At 43.0% G+C, this 14584-nt stretch overlaps 1 protein-coding gene across 52 annotated transcripts in view, besides 1 other annotated feature; it reads right to left on the bottom strand.

Moving 5' to 3' along the window:
* The window catches only part of RBFOX1 (RNA binding fox-1 homolog 1), a 2473620-nt gene that overhangs the window by 126677 nt on the left and 2332359 nt on the right, over positions 1-14584 (bottom strand). For all 52 annotated transcript variants that reach the window (NM_001415887.1, NM_001415888.1, XM_017023318.3 and 49 more), the window contains one exon: positions 6744-6887. In NM_001415887.1, the coding sequence (NP_001402816.1) occupies positions 6744-6887 (144 nt within the window). The remainder of the gene's footprint in view (positions 1-6743; positions 6888-14584) is intronic.
* Positions 6021-7220: an enhancer, noted in NCBI's record as "CDK7 strongly-dependent group 2 enhancer chr16:7629446-7630645 (GRCh37/hg19 assembly coordinates)". NCBI's record gives its function as "activates an origin of replication core promoter dependent on BRD2, BRD4, P300/CBP, MED14 and CDK7 cofactors, with strong dependence on CDK7, by STARR-seq in HCT116 cells {active_cell/tissue: HCT116}" and the evidence as "EXISTENCE:reporter gene assay evidence [ECO:0000049][PMID:35650434]".

The raw sequence follows: 14584 nt of genomic DNA, 5'->3' as shown, positions 1-14584 counted from the left end.
TAAACAAATAGATTTTAGACAACTAGCATGAATAGGCTCTATGAAAAGTCCAGAAACAGAGACTCAGATTATAAATAGAGACAAATAAAATGCAGACACTTGGTTAAATTTAAATTTCAGATTTTTCAGGATATGTCACACACAACATTTGGGACATACTTATACTTAATACTTGTGGTTTATTTGAACTTCAAATTCAACGACTGTGTCTTACATATTTTTTAAATTTGTGAAATCTGGAAGTCCCAGTGAGAAATGTACATCAAGCAATTCTTGATCACGTTTCAAAACAGGAAGTATGGGCTCTAGAACTAGGGGCATCGGATCATCTGAAATCCTTTCCCCCAACCTTGGAATTTTTTCAGTTTTCTGAGATCACATGAAGTATTGTGGCCATTTCTTGAGTACAGTAGCCTAACCTGCATAAGTACGAGCAACTGAGAGAGAGGGTAATGTAAAATCATGTACTGTGGCCCAGGGAAAAATAAAATGGGAATTTTATCTCCATGCAGAATGAGAGCAAATGCTCTTTGAGTGATTAAAAATTAAACAGGGCAACATAAATATTTCCATCCTCTTTTTTTGTTTTGTTTTGAGCTTTCCTATCATTCCATTCACTTCTGCATTCTGGATTTTAATTGCATCCTTTATGACCCCCAGAGGTTTTGTATTCCATCTCTCCCTTGAGTGGAGAGCATTACGCGTGCTTCTGTGTGGCAGCGGACAGAGCGACTGGGGTGAGGGGTGGGGCAGGATAAAAAAGGAACAAACAAAAAGACCACACAAGAAGCAGGGGAGGTTTGCCTGACTATGTGTTTCAGTCATAGAGTATCCAGAGACACAGAGAGTGAATGTCAAGAGGGTCCTACTAACATTCAAGAAACAAATTATTTAGAACATACAGATAGCTATCCTCTGGAATGGACAAAGAAATCCACCCTCCCAGAAACAGTAGAAACAAATGTATATGCCACTTGAATACAGACAGCCCAATCTTGAAATAAAAATAGTTCTGACTATGGGACAAAGTAACCAAAAGTTTGTCATTCTGTGCCATAGAAATGTGCCCGTTCCTCAGGACCCATACACTATACAGCCGGGGGAATCACAGACGCACATATTTCAAGTTGTGAAACAAAGAACTACCAGCACTTCTGTTCAGAGAAGCAAAGGATAGGAAGAAACCAAAGAGAAAATACTCAGAAGAGAACATGGAAAGGGGTCACATTGCTTGCATGCACAATGGAAACGCCAACAAACGTGCAGCTTACTCATCCTGCAATCTGTGGACTTAGATCTTTTGGTCAAGAGAATATTCCTTTACAGAGCATTTTCAGTGCCCTAGTTTTAGGCAGAGAAAAATCACTGGAAATAGAAGAAAACATTCAGATTGGGGAAATGAAGGATTTGCCATTCAAACGTGAGCTGAATTTCATAGTAAAGAAACCTCCAGTTTTGTGAACTCCTCAAGCAGTAATTTTGATACCAACCACCCTTGAATATTCAGTCTCCACAGACGCTATCATATTTATTTCAGGCATAAGAGCCTAGAAGCACATATATTTACAGAAAGAGAAGCTTGAAAAGGACTTCTTCCAAAACCGCGATGCAACTGTCATCTATGGAACATTCTCTAGGCAGTCAACCCAAAAACATTTCCTTTAAAATAAGATCTGATTGAGACAGAACCAATCAAACAGCAATCTTGGCAGGTGTCATTCCCTAAATGAAACAATGACATCAGCTGCCCTGAAGTGGTCTCAAAGTTTGCTTCTGTGGCAGTTGCTGTTAGGTTGACGGTTCTCAAAGCCGGTGAAACAAGCCCAAAGAAGAATGCTGATGTAAGCCCCATTTCCAAGACAGTTGTGTACTATATTTATAGTATCAACAGTTTAATTGGGAAGTTCGCTACTAATGATGTAAACACAGCTGGCACATTTTCAATTTAAATAGACACGACTCATTCGCAGACATAACTAGCATTTGTTTGCTCAACATCAATGTTCAGCTGCATTCAACAACGCCTCAAATCCACACAAAGTTTCTCAATAGCTGTATCAAGAGCAGGATCCAGGCCAGGCATGGTGGCTCATGCCTGTAATCCCAGCACTGTGGGAGGCTGAGGCGGGCAGATCACAAGGTGGGGAGTTTGGGACCAGGATGGCCAACTTGGTGAAACCCTGTCTCTACTAAAAATGTAAAAATTACCCAGTCATGGTGGTAGGAGCCTGTAATCCCAGTTACTTGGGATGCTGAGGCAGGAGAATCACTTGAACCTGGGAGGTGGAGGTTGCAGTGAACCAAGATTGTGCCATTGCACTCCAGCCTGGGTGACAGAGCGAGACTCTATCTTAAAAAACAAAACAAACAAGATCTAGAAGCTTACAGGCACACACACTTTGGCAAATACCTACCAAGCATTTTTAGATGTTCTCAGATCAAACAATATTTCTCTGAAAAACTGTGAGGGATGTTCAATGGATACAGCATAAAACGTAAAAGTAAAGGTTAGTTCAAAGATTGTGCGTGAAGGCCAAAGAAAGGCATCATCCCAGTTTTTCTTAGTGTCAGCTTCCTGTTCAGAATGCAGAAGTAGAAGGTACCATGCCCTGTCTCCCCATAATGACTTCACTCACAACATCATGGTAGATGGAACTTTCCATTAACGTCATAAGTACAGGCAAGCCCGTCTCGTGACTAAAAAGTGATCTTGAAATCTTCCTTTGCATGTGCTGAAAGTCATGTGATCTGTTTTTTTGTGACAATAAAGAGAGGTTTAGTGGACCATTTTCCTGCCCAGAGGACCTATATTTTGTTTTGGTGTGGTTTTTTTTGATTTTATTGTTGTAGAAACTGGGTCTCCCTATGTTGCGCAGGCTGGTCTAAAATTCTTGAACTCAAGCAACCCTCCCACCTCGGCCTCCCAAAGTGCTGGGATTACAGGTATAAGCCACCATCATGCCTGGCCAAGAGGGTCTGTATTTTGACCCCTAAAGTAAGGCTGTGGAATCAACAAGGGTGTTGTGTAAATTTGAGAACTGTAGTCATTGAGCAACTGTTTCTGACAATTCCGTGAAGGCATCCAGAACATCCATCCATCTGTTGTAGCAGAAGTCTGGATATATCACAATCCACTTGTCTCACTTCAAACCCAGAATGTTTAAATGTTAAATATTAAGTTAAACATTCTATTTAGGGTGCAATATATCGCAATTAATTTGTTAGAAATCCATATATTCCTCTTTTGGGATCATCAAACATTTATCTGTAAAGAAAATGCATGCTCATGCATGATACCTAACGTGAAGACAAAGCTCAAGGAAAAAGTAGCCACCTATAAAACTAACATCCCTTCCAATGAACCATTTAATATCAATGCCACTGCACAGAACAGATCCATTCCCTTGAACCTCAACCGGTATTTTTAAAAGACGATGGCTTCTGCTTTGTATACTGTAGCCATATATCTTGCCCAAGGAATGTTCCATCTCAAATGAGAAAAAAAAAAAAAAAAAGATGAGCTAGAAGATTTAATGCCAAACATGGGAACAAATGCTTCCAATGAGTAGAAAGTAAAGAATATGAAGCACAAGGTGGAAAAGGTAATCAGGATTCCAATCTTCATGATGTGCTGAAGATACAAATTAGAAATAAAATGAGTCATCTGCAGTAACCATTAGGCATGTAACGGTTGCAGATGGTATGGTCGAATTATTAGTGGTTACAGACGTTGTAATGATCACTGCCAAGTTTTAGGCAGTTTGAAGAAGGAGGTTGCTTTTTTGTCTTGTTTTGCTTTTGACTTTGAAATCCCATGCCTATATTTAACAAGAGACAAAGGGGGGGAAAAGCACAAAGATCTTTGTGACTGTTTTTCTCTGTAATTGTCCTCACTGTAAACCCCTGTCAAAGTGGGAAGACAAAGACAGGATAGAGCACCAAAAGGAAAGAAGATGTCTCATGTCCAAATAACGTGAGAAGTACCGAATTGGAGTTAAACTGTAGTTTCTTGCAGTAACTATGACCCAAAAGAGGAAACCCTCCTAAATTCCCTAAGCTCCAGTGCAGGGAGCCAATGAGAATGTTTACAGATGCTTCACAATGTGATTCCTGCCACTAAATGTATCCTATAACAAGAACGGCTCCATGACCACCGGTGTTTGGCAGGAAAGAACAGATTTTTAGTGCATAAAACTGCATTTCTTTAGAATAGTGGTTGTAAACTAAGGAGGCTTGAAAGTCATTGCAAGGGGGTCTATGAATCTGTATGTTCCTGGCACTTTTATAGACAAAATTTACAGAAACAAATAAATCTTGCATACTTTTAAAAAAAGGGACACAGATGCTATTTGTGATGAACAAGGTTGAGTTTGTGCACTAAATGCATGGTGTGTTCTCTTAATTGACAGGTATTAAGTGTATCTATCATCTTGCCAAATTGACATCTTGTCAGTTGCTTGAAAATCTTGACTTTAAAGTGAAGTGGTGAATGCATGTAGTCCCAGCTAGTCAGGAAGCTGAGGCACAAGAATCGCTTGAACCCAGGAGAAAGGTTGCAATGAGCCGAGATCATGCCACTTCACTGCAGTCTGGGTGACAGACTAAGACTTTGTCACAAAAAAAAGGGGGGGGGGGGGTGCTGGATGGGTGCAATAGCTCACATCTTATGCTGTAATCCCAGCACATTGGGAGGCCAAGGCGGGAGGGTTGCTTGAGGCCAGGAATTTGTGAGCAGCCTGGACAACAAATTGAGACCCCATCTCTATTAAAAAAAAATACTTAAAAATTAGCCAAGCATGGTGGCTTGTGCCTGTAGTCCCAGCTACTTGGGAGGCTGAGGTGGGAGGATCCCTTGAGCCCAAGAATTTGCAGTGAGCCGTGATCACACCACTGCACTCTAGCCTGGGTAGCAGAGTGAGAACTTGTCTTTTTAAAAACAAGAGCCCTGAAACTAGTAGATTTGGATCAAGGTCTGATGACCGGTAGTACAATTTTTTGGCAAGATCTTGCTCCTTGCCGTCTACCCTACCTCTGTAAGACTAGAGAGACTCAGGATCCCTTCTCTGATTCCTGTGAATATTTTGAATACCTCTATGACTTAGCATTGTAGCCTGCAGTAACTTTCACGATAACTGAGTGACACCATGAAAGAGTGTCAGGACGGTCATTAAGGGGATCACATTGAAAGCCAACATCACAGTGACACTTGATGAGAAAAAAATAGACTGCATAGCAAGATGTCTTCCTAACCTGACACGGCAAAGAGAATATAACTCCTCTTACCGCCCATCATTCACACCTGGTCTTACTGCCTCACACACACTTAACCTCGACTCTCACTTTGAATGCTCTGCACTTTTCAAAGTCATCTTTGACCTGAAAGTGCCCGAGGGTATCTCTGTTCTGCAGGAGTTGGAAGGCTCAACTCAAGGTTATTACCAAATGAGAGAGATAAAAGTGCAAGAGCTGACCTTTTCCTCTGAAATGTCAGCATTCAAAGCTGGGTATCTTCAATATTAGGATGCTCGCTCTGCTTTTGTGTCAGATGCATACTTGATAAGCATCACGTGTGTATAAGAAGTAAAAGGTGCAAGCTAATCCCCAACACACAGTGCCTTTGAGTAGTGAACAAGAGCCTCCCATTTTATATGGAGACACCACCAACTTGGCTAGGAATGAGGCATTCAAGTTGGGCATCTTCTTGTTCCTTTTGTGATATTTGCATCCATTTATTAACTCTTAGAGGAAGAGTCTCTGAGAAGCCCACCATTGCTCTAAGTCAAATGTTAAGGATGTAGTTCTTTTCATTGAATCCAGAGGCACCTGCTATCATTGCTGGGATGTCATGGGCAAATTGGCTACATCTGCAAACATGAATGATATCCAAGCCCTGTCACAGCTTTGTCCTTTGGTGGAACACTGGTCAAAGAAATGGCAAACTCATGTCTTCCCAAAGTGGATAGTGAAGATATCTTCGAGAAAAAAATAATCAGGGGCAAGATGACCTATAAAAAAAGCAATGCTATTATTTTCTCCTGGGTCAGTGGTGACTTGTGGCCTGCTCTGTGTTTCACCATGGTGCCTGGGCAAGGCTACACTTCATGGCATATAGCACCACAGTAAGTACCTCTGAATCCTTTTCACTGATTTCAGAAGAACGTAGACTTCAGGAATCAACATGGACTTAGAAACTGGTAGCTCATTTGGTGTCGGTGGTGGTGGTTTTGTTTTGTTTGCTAAAATCAGCTTTATGCAGAAGTAGTTGTTCTCTGCTGATGCATCTGAAATCTAAATGCACAGTGCCTGGGAAAGACTAGGCAATGCAGGGATACACTAAGAGTCACCCTCTGGATCATTTGACAACTGTAAAAGAAAGCAAAACCAAGAGGACTCGATGTGTATTTTTGCTGCAGTATGATGTCCTGGGCCATTGGATTTAGGACCATCAATAGGCTTCCTTCAACAGTGGGTCATCTAGGAATTTGTGTTCCATTTGGCCTACAAGTTACTTCTTAGAAGAAAGCCACTTGGTAAAGTAGATACATGGTGAGCATATGTACAGAAATACATGCTAAAACCATAAAGAGATTCTAGCCACAATATACCTGCAGACTAGGCTCTAAATTGTTTCTCCCCATACAAACATCTAACCTTAGTATTGTAAATACCCCAAACTTACATGAGACAGGGAGGTCTCTGGAACCCCCAGAGCGGGCACTGCTGGGAAGAAAGGTGATACTTACACCAAACATTTGTCTGAGGTCCGGATCCCGGAACCTGAAGGGGATATTGGAGACATGCAGCCGCTTGGGCTGAGACTTGTTTTCCGTGTTTTCAGAAGGTTGTGTCTGGGGCTGGCCATCCGTCGGTGCTGCGTCATCTGTCTGCTAAAAGAACAAGAAGAAACCGAAGAGGTTCTCAGTGGACCACAGTGCTCTCTTCCGATGCTCTTTTGCTTGCCATGAGTGGCAGGAAAAGATCAGAACTAAGCAATCTGAGAAGGGAAGAAAATGCTGACGCATGCATGCATGCATTCATTCAGCAAGTGTTTTCTGAGCGTCCACTGGGTGCTCATTATGAATCTGGGATTAGGCAGTGGGAAAAGCAGACAAAAATCCCTGCCCTCAGGGAGCATCATTCTCATGAGGGCAACACAGACAATAAATCCATAGATAGAGTGTTGGCAGACAGAGAAAAGCACTATAGGCTAGAAAAAGCAAAGGAAGGGGACTGGGAGCTGCTGGGGTTGGGAGGTGGGGAGCGAGAACCTCATCAAGAAGGGGGTAATAATCTTTAAAGGCAGGACAGTGTGTATTTCTTAACCGACGCTGTTCAGAATCTGAAGATATGCCTACATAATTGTTCAGGTAATTGTGCAGATAAAACATAATTAAATGTAAAAAATGTGAAAAGACTAGTTGGCATTCTGGAGTTCAAATAACCAGCTGATTGACTTATTCTTTTGAGGTTCTAATTGTACAAACTTTTGCTGTCCACTACAGTTGACCACATGTGACAATTTACATTTAACTGAATTAAAACAAGATATTTAACTTTGTTTGCATTAGCTGCATTTCAAGCGCTCAAGAACCACATGTAGTTATTGCTTCCATACTGAATAATGCAAATACAGAACGTTTCCATCTCTGCAGAAAGTGCTGTTGTGCTCTGTTTGCCTAGACCATGTAACATCATCAGCATAACTGATTGTTTCACCTCCCCTGTCTTCCAAATAAGGCTGTATAACATGACGTTACATTGACACCCACATATTTGGCAGGAACGAGGGGAAAAGTCACAGTCACATTAGGTATCATTATAGCCACTGCCATACTCTCGGTTCTAGAGTTTTAACATTTCAGACATTTAGCATTTGATACTTCTCTGCAATTAGCAACTATTGCCTCCAGCTGGCAGTAAATGCCATCCACATCAGATACCAACTTTGAAACTATGATAGAAAGCTTACACAGAAGCCTATCAAATTTATGAGTGAGGAATCATCCTGACCTGTTTATAAGCAATCTAGAAGTACATAATTGGGACAAAACTATCAATGTAGGCAGCCAGGTGTAAAATAATAACGACCGAGAGAAGACAATCTTACAAAGTGAAATACAAAACAAACACTCAGATAACATGGGCATAATTAGCAAGTTTCTCATCAGCCCTGGTATGTACTGGAAGGTTTCATTTGCATTTTCCTTCCTAACACACCCTGAATCGCATTTTGAAATAAAGACATCTTGTTAGCTGGCAAACCATTCTTCCAAGATGCTCTGGTATCAAAAGACCTACCAGTTGACTTCAGCTTTTAAGTGCAAGTCATGTATTTAGACAATGTATTTAGTCATTTTGCCTATACTGTTGGATTGAATAGGAAGCAGTACAGTGGTCATTTTCTTAACTGGTAAATAAAGAATAATGAGTTCATACCTTTTGAGGCTTTGTGATTGATTAATGTGTGCTAACTTGGCCAAGTTCCTGGTATGTATTCAATAAATGGAAAGTGACGAAATGTTTAGAATGATGGCAAGTTTTTTAAATACCAAAAAGAGAAATAAACCTCCTTTGAGAAACACGAAGGAAAGGTTTTCATTTGCTTATTTTTAAAGTGTTTACACATCTTTACTGAGCAACTGCTTTGTGTTGGACACATAAATCAGCCCTCCTTGTCACATGCAATTCCAACTTTAGTGCATGACACCAATAGAGAAAAACAATCATAAATAGAATCATTTTGTCATTGTCTTTTGTTGTTGTTTTCTTGGAGTTGGGTCTTGCTCTGTCACTCAGGCTGGAATGCCATGGCACAATCACGGCTCACTGAAGCCTTGAAATCCTGGGCTCAATCTTGCCACATCAGCCTTCCAAGTAGCTAGGATTACAGGCATGAGCCATTATACCCAGCTAATTTTTATTTGCAGAGCCTGGGTCACACTAAGTTGCCCAGGCTGGTCTTGAACCTCTGGCCTCAAGTGATCCTCCTGCCTCTGCCTCTGCCTCCCAAAGCACTGGGACTACAGGCGTGAGCCACCATCCCCAGAGACTGGTAAATGTTGGGATAAGAGGCAATCACAAAGGGCTGAGTAACCTTAAATCAAGGTCATATGACACTGCTGGAGGTTCAGCCAGGCTTGCCAATTCTGGAGGTTAAACGTTAAGTGGGAGATGTCTAAGAGAAGAGGTGAAAAGGACTGAGGCTATTCCAAGACAGGGCAGTGCATGTGCAGATGTGCAGAGATGTGAAATGATGTCTTGGATTCAGGAGAGTATGTGTGGACTCCAGCACCACTGGTCAGATGAGGCATGTATGAAGGGAAGGCAGGAGGACAGGTTTCAAAGATAGTCAAGGGGCTAGATCAAAGGACACTGTGCAAAGCAAGAGTCTGAGCTTCATCCTAAGAGCAATAAGGAGCCACCTAAGGGTCACAGCAGGAGTGTGGTATGACCAGCTTGTAACACAAATGATAAATGTCTGTTTAACAGTTGGCTCACTCACTGACCGAATGAATTATTAGTACACGAATAAACAAATGCATGAAGAAGTGTACAATCAATGTCGCCGCCTTCATGTGATAGTCGAAGAGCAACACTGTAACACTGAAACCCAAACAGAGCAGAATTTGCGTTTTCTCCGCTGAGAATACGAGGTTTGGTGCCACGTCCATGACACAGAAATGAGCTCGAATCCTGCAACTGTCACTTTTCAGAAGTTAAGGGGTTTTAGTACTCTACACCCAGACTCGGAGTTTACAGATGCTGTAGCTGAAACCCTAAGCTTCCAGTCCATTCTCTTCCATCCTGTTAGAAGTTCCCGTTTCAATGCAAAAACAAAATGAGCTCCTTCTTATCCTGAGAAGGAAACATAGATTTGGATTTGTGTATAACTGCTGGATGTTTCAGTTTAATGAACCTAATTAGGAATTACAGAGATTATGATTAAACATATTAAATGATTAATAGCATTATACCGCTCATGTGAAAATTAAAATTAATCATCTCTAGTCAAACAGCACTTTGGAGAAATCTTTGCATTGTTTCCTTTGATAAAAACATACAACGCTCAATTAATCATTTTGTAGTGTATGCTTATATACAAATGCGTATAAACTGTTATGGAGAAATACCTGTGTATTAAAAAGAATCCTTAAAGCATGCAAAATAAAAAAGTAAGCCAAAAGTGTTTCAGGTCATTGTGGGTGTATGGAAAGGGAAAAAGAAGAGTGTTAGGAAGTAGAGGTTGAGGAGTGAATAAAACAACAGAAAAAGGAAATCTCTTTCAGCCTGCATGCCTTTTATATGGTGGGATGCAGCACAATGAACCAGGGTTTTGGAATCACACAGACCATCCCTGTTATTTGCTAATCTTAGGCAGGTCACTTTTCTTCTCTGACCTTCACTTTACTTTTCCATCAAAGGACATTAATGGGGTAATGGGGCTAGGTGCAGTGGCTCATGCCTGTAATCCCAGCACTTTGGCAGGCTAAGGTGGGAGGATCATTTGACACCAGCCTGCAACATAGTGAGACCCTGTCTCCACTAAATAAATTAAAAAAAAAAAAAATAGCTGATCATGGCCATGTGCCTGCCATCCCAGCTACTTGGGAGACCGAGGTGGGAGATGGCTGGAGCCCAGGAGATCAAGGCTGCAGTGAGGGAAGATCATGCCACTGCACTCCAGCCTGGGCAATGGAGCAAGACTCTGCCTCTAAAACAAAAACAAAAAGGACACTAATGGTACTAAGCTCACAGGATAGTGGGAAGGATGAAATGCAGCAGGAGATGACAGAGCAGCTACCTCAGAGCCTAACGCATGTTGGGGTTAGAGATCATCACAAAGCCCTCCACTGAGTGTGATCTCTTTTCTTTCTCTTTTTTCTGGGACCTTCCGGGGAAAACATATTTAGAACCAGCCAGCGTTTTATGTCTCTATATTCGTTTCCTGAAAGAGGACCATAAAGCTGGCGGCTTAAAGCCACTGGACTTCATTCTCCTGTAGTTGTAGAGGACAGAAATCTAAAATCAAGGTGCCAGGAGGGCCACACTTCCTCTAGAGGCTCTAGGGAGGAATCATGCCTTGCCTCATTTAGCTTTTGTTGGCTGCAGGTGTTCCTTGGCTTGGGTCTGCATCCTTCCATCCTCTGCTTCAATGTCCACAGTCCCTACTTCCCTCTGCGGGGGTGAAACTCCAATTTCCCTCTTCCTTTTTCTTCTTAAAACGATACTAGGGTCGGGTGCGGTGGCTTACACCTATAATCCCAGCACTTTGGGAGGCTGAGCGGGGCAGATCATGAGGTAAGGAGTTCAAGACCAGCCTGACCAACATGGTGAAACCCCGTCTCTACTAAAAGTGCAAAAATTAGCCAGGTGGGGTAGCGCGCACCTGTAATCCCAGCTACTTGGGAGGGTGAGGCAGGAGAATCGCTTGAATCCAGGAGGCAGAGGTTACAATGAGCCGAGATCGTGCCACTGCACTCCAGCCTGGGTGACAGAGTGAGACTCCATCTCAAAAAAAGGATAATTAATTGTTGAGCCCATCCTAAATCCAGGAGGATTTTGTGTTGATCCTTAGTTACATCTGCAAAGACCTCCTCCCCCACAGCCCCCCCCAAATAAGATCACATTTATGGAAGACAAGGACATATTTTTTGGAGGTCACCATTCCCTCTACTACATCTCTCCACCAAACATATAAAGCAAAGGTGTATGCAGTACAAACAAGCAGCTGTTATCCAGGAGGCAATGCGTCCTCCACCACTTCAGGCAGCACGAAGTTCTCAAGATGAGTGGCCTCAAAGCAGGTCTAGGAGAAGGAGGAATGAATGTTCCTGTCAGGCTGTCATCTGTCAATAGGAGTTGTGACGGTTAACACTGAGTGTCAACTTGATTGGATTGAAGGATGCAAAGTATTGGTCCTGGGTGTGTCTGTTAGTGTGCTGCCAAAGGAGATAAACATTCAAGTCAGTGGACTGGCCAACCCACCCTCAATCTGGGTGGGCCCCATCTGATCACCTGCCAACACGCCTAGGATAAAAGTAGGCAAAGGAACATGCAAAGACTAGACTGGCTGAGTCTTCCAGCCTACAACTCTCCCCCATGCTGGATGCTTCCTGCCCTCGAACATGGGACTCCAAGTTCTTCAGCTTTTGGACTCTTGGACCTTCGACCACAGACTGAAGGCTGTACTGTTGGCTTCCCTACTTTTGAGGTTTTGGGACCCAGCCTGACTTCCTTGCTCCTCAGCTTACAGAGGGCCTATTGTGGGACTTCACCTTGTGATCGTGTGAGTCAATACTCCTTAATAAATTCCCCTTTACATAAACATCTATTTTATTAGTTCTTTCCCTCTAGAGAACCCTGATACAGGTGTCACTTCAATGAGACTCTCCAAAGAGAACACTTAAGTCTTCCTCTCTCCAGCCCACTCTCCCCAGTGGCCTTCGATCATGGCCCTGGATGCAATGACGCCTGGCTGGAAAGCCTTTCATCAGCCTCTTGAAAGGCCATCAACACTCAAGGACAGACATGCTGCCTGTATGTTCCCAGTACCTACTAGTGTGCCTCATTCAACTTGAGAAGTCATTATAGCATCCCTGAGAAGCTTGCTGAACGTTATGACAAAAGCATAGTGTGTAATTCCTAAGGAAAAGAAAATGTGAAAAAGCTAGGAAACTTGCTAATAGGACAAACCATCTAGAATGCACATTCCTGAAGGGCAGTGGCTACGGAATTCATAGTTATAGTTCCTAAAGCTGTAGCACATCAAAGCTTAGTGGGAAGTAATCTCTGAGAGAACTCCTGATTTATTTGACCTCTTTTTTTTTTTGAGACAGAGTCTTGTTCTGTTGCCCAGGCTGGAGTCTAGTGGCACAATCTTACCTCACTGCAACCTCTGCCTCCCGGGTTCAAGCAATTTTCCTGCCTCAACCTCCCGAGTAGCTGGGATTTATAGGTGTGTGCCACTGTGCCTGGCTCATTTTTGTATTTTTACTAGAGACAGGGTTTCACAATGTTGGCCAGGCTGGCCTCAAACTCCTAACCTCAAGTGATCGGCCTGCCTTGGCCTCCCAAAGTGCTGGGATTACAGGCTTGAGCCACTGTGCCTGGCCATAAAAGTTATGTTTGGCTCTAAAGTGAGACCTACCTGAATGGACATTACCATATTTGGGAGATCAGAAGGTAGGACATAGCCATGCAGAAAATTCAGAGAATGGAGGAAATTGAGGGCAGTCAGTAAAGTAAGGATGTTAGAGGTGGACGGGAAAGTGGCCAGGGACACCCCCTTCTCAGTGGTCTCCAACCTGGATCGTCATTGGCTCTCTAGGTCTATAAGGTTCAGTGTTCTCGGCTGTGACTGCCTCCCACTTTGCCTGCTGCCTGTCTCCCATTGTCGCTTGTTGGCCTCTTTGCTTTTCCTGACCCCATCTTTGGTCTTTGCATTCATTCTGCCCTTTGCCTGGAAGACTCTTTCCCTGGGACACCACCTGTAGCTTGCCCTCTTGCCGATACAATCTCTGCCCAGGTGTCACCCATTGGAGAAACCTTCACTGGCCCTATGATCTACAGCAACTCTGCACCAGCACTCTCTCTCCCCTTGACCACTGATTTCTTCACAGCATACATCTCTTCTTGCCTTTTTATTATTTTATTCTGTGATTTTGTATATTGCCTATCTTTTCTACCAGGATGTAACTCGAGGAGAGCAGAGACTGTGGCTTTTCTGTTCACTGAAACCCTCTACCACTATAGTACGGTTCCTCAATGTCAGTACCATTGACATTTGGGGCTGGTTCATTTTATTTATTTATTTATTTATTCATTTGAGAGAGACTCTCACTCTGTTGCCCAGGCTGGAGTGCAGTGGCTCCATCTTGGCTCACTGCAAGCTCTGCCTCCTGGGTTCACGCCATTCTCCTGCCTCAGCCTCCCGAGTAGCTGTGACTACAGGCGCCAGCCACTACGCCCAGCTAATTTTTTGTATTTTTAGTAGAGACAGGGTTTCACCGCGTTAGCCAGGATGGTCTCGATCTCCTGACCTCGTGATCCGCCCGCCTCAGCCTCCCAAAGTGCTGGGATTACAGGCGTGAGCCACCGCGCCCAGCCTATTATTATTTTTGATGGGTGGATCATCCTGTGCACTGCAGAATGTTCAACAGCATCACTGGCCTCCACCCACCACATGCCAGTCGCCTACCCGTGAGTTGGAACAAAAAATATCTCCTGGGATTCAAATGTCTCCTGGGAGGCAAAACTGTACCACTTGAAACTGCTGACCTGGAGTCCGTGGTAAGTTCTCAGTAAATATCTGCAGCGTAAATGACTAAGCCTTACCATGAGCGACCTGCAAGTCTGCTCACTTCATGTCTCTGGATCTCCATTTGCATATACATAAAATGATAAATGTATACTTGTCCTGGATGCTTTAGAGTGAAATTACATCCAAGTCTTTGTGAATGGTTAAGTCCCTTGTATAAAGAGGGGACATAATTATCGTGATCATTATTAACAGTATTAATAACCATCAGTTTTGTTTTGAGATGGAGTCTCACTCTGTCACCCAGGCTGGAGTGCAATGGTGCGA

The sequence above is a fragment of the Homo sapiens genome, chromosome 16, assembly GCF_000001405.40.
Source record: "Homo sapiens chromosome 16, GRCh38.p14 Primary Assembly".
NCBI classification, from domain to species: Eukaryota; Metazoa; Chordata; class Mammalia; order Primates; family Hominidae; genus Homo; species Homo sapiens.
Note: the sequence above shows the minus strand (reverse complement) of the source record. Positions and strands in the feature narration are given on the sequence as shown.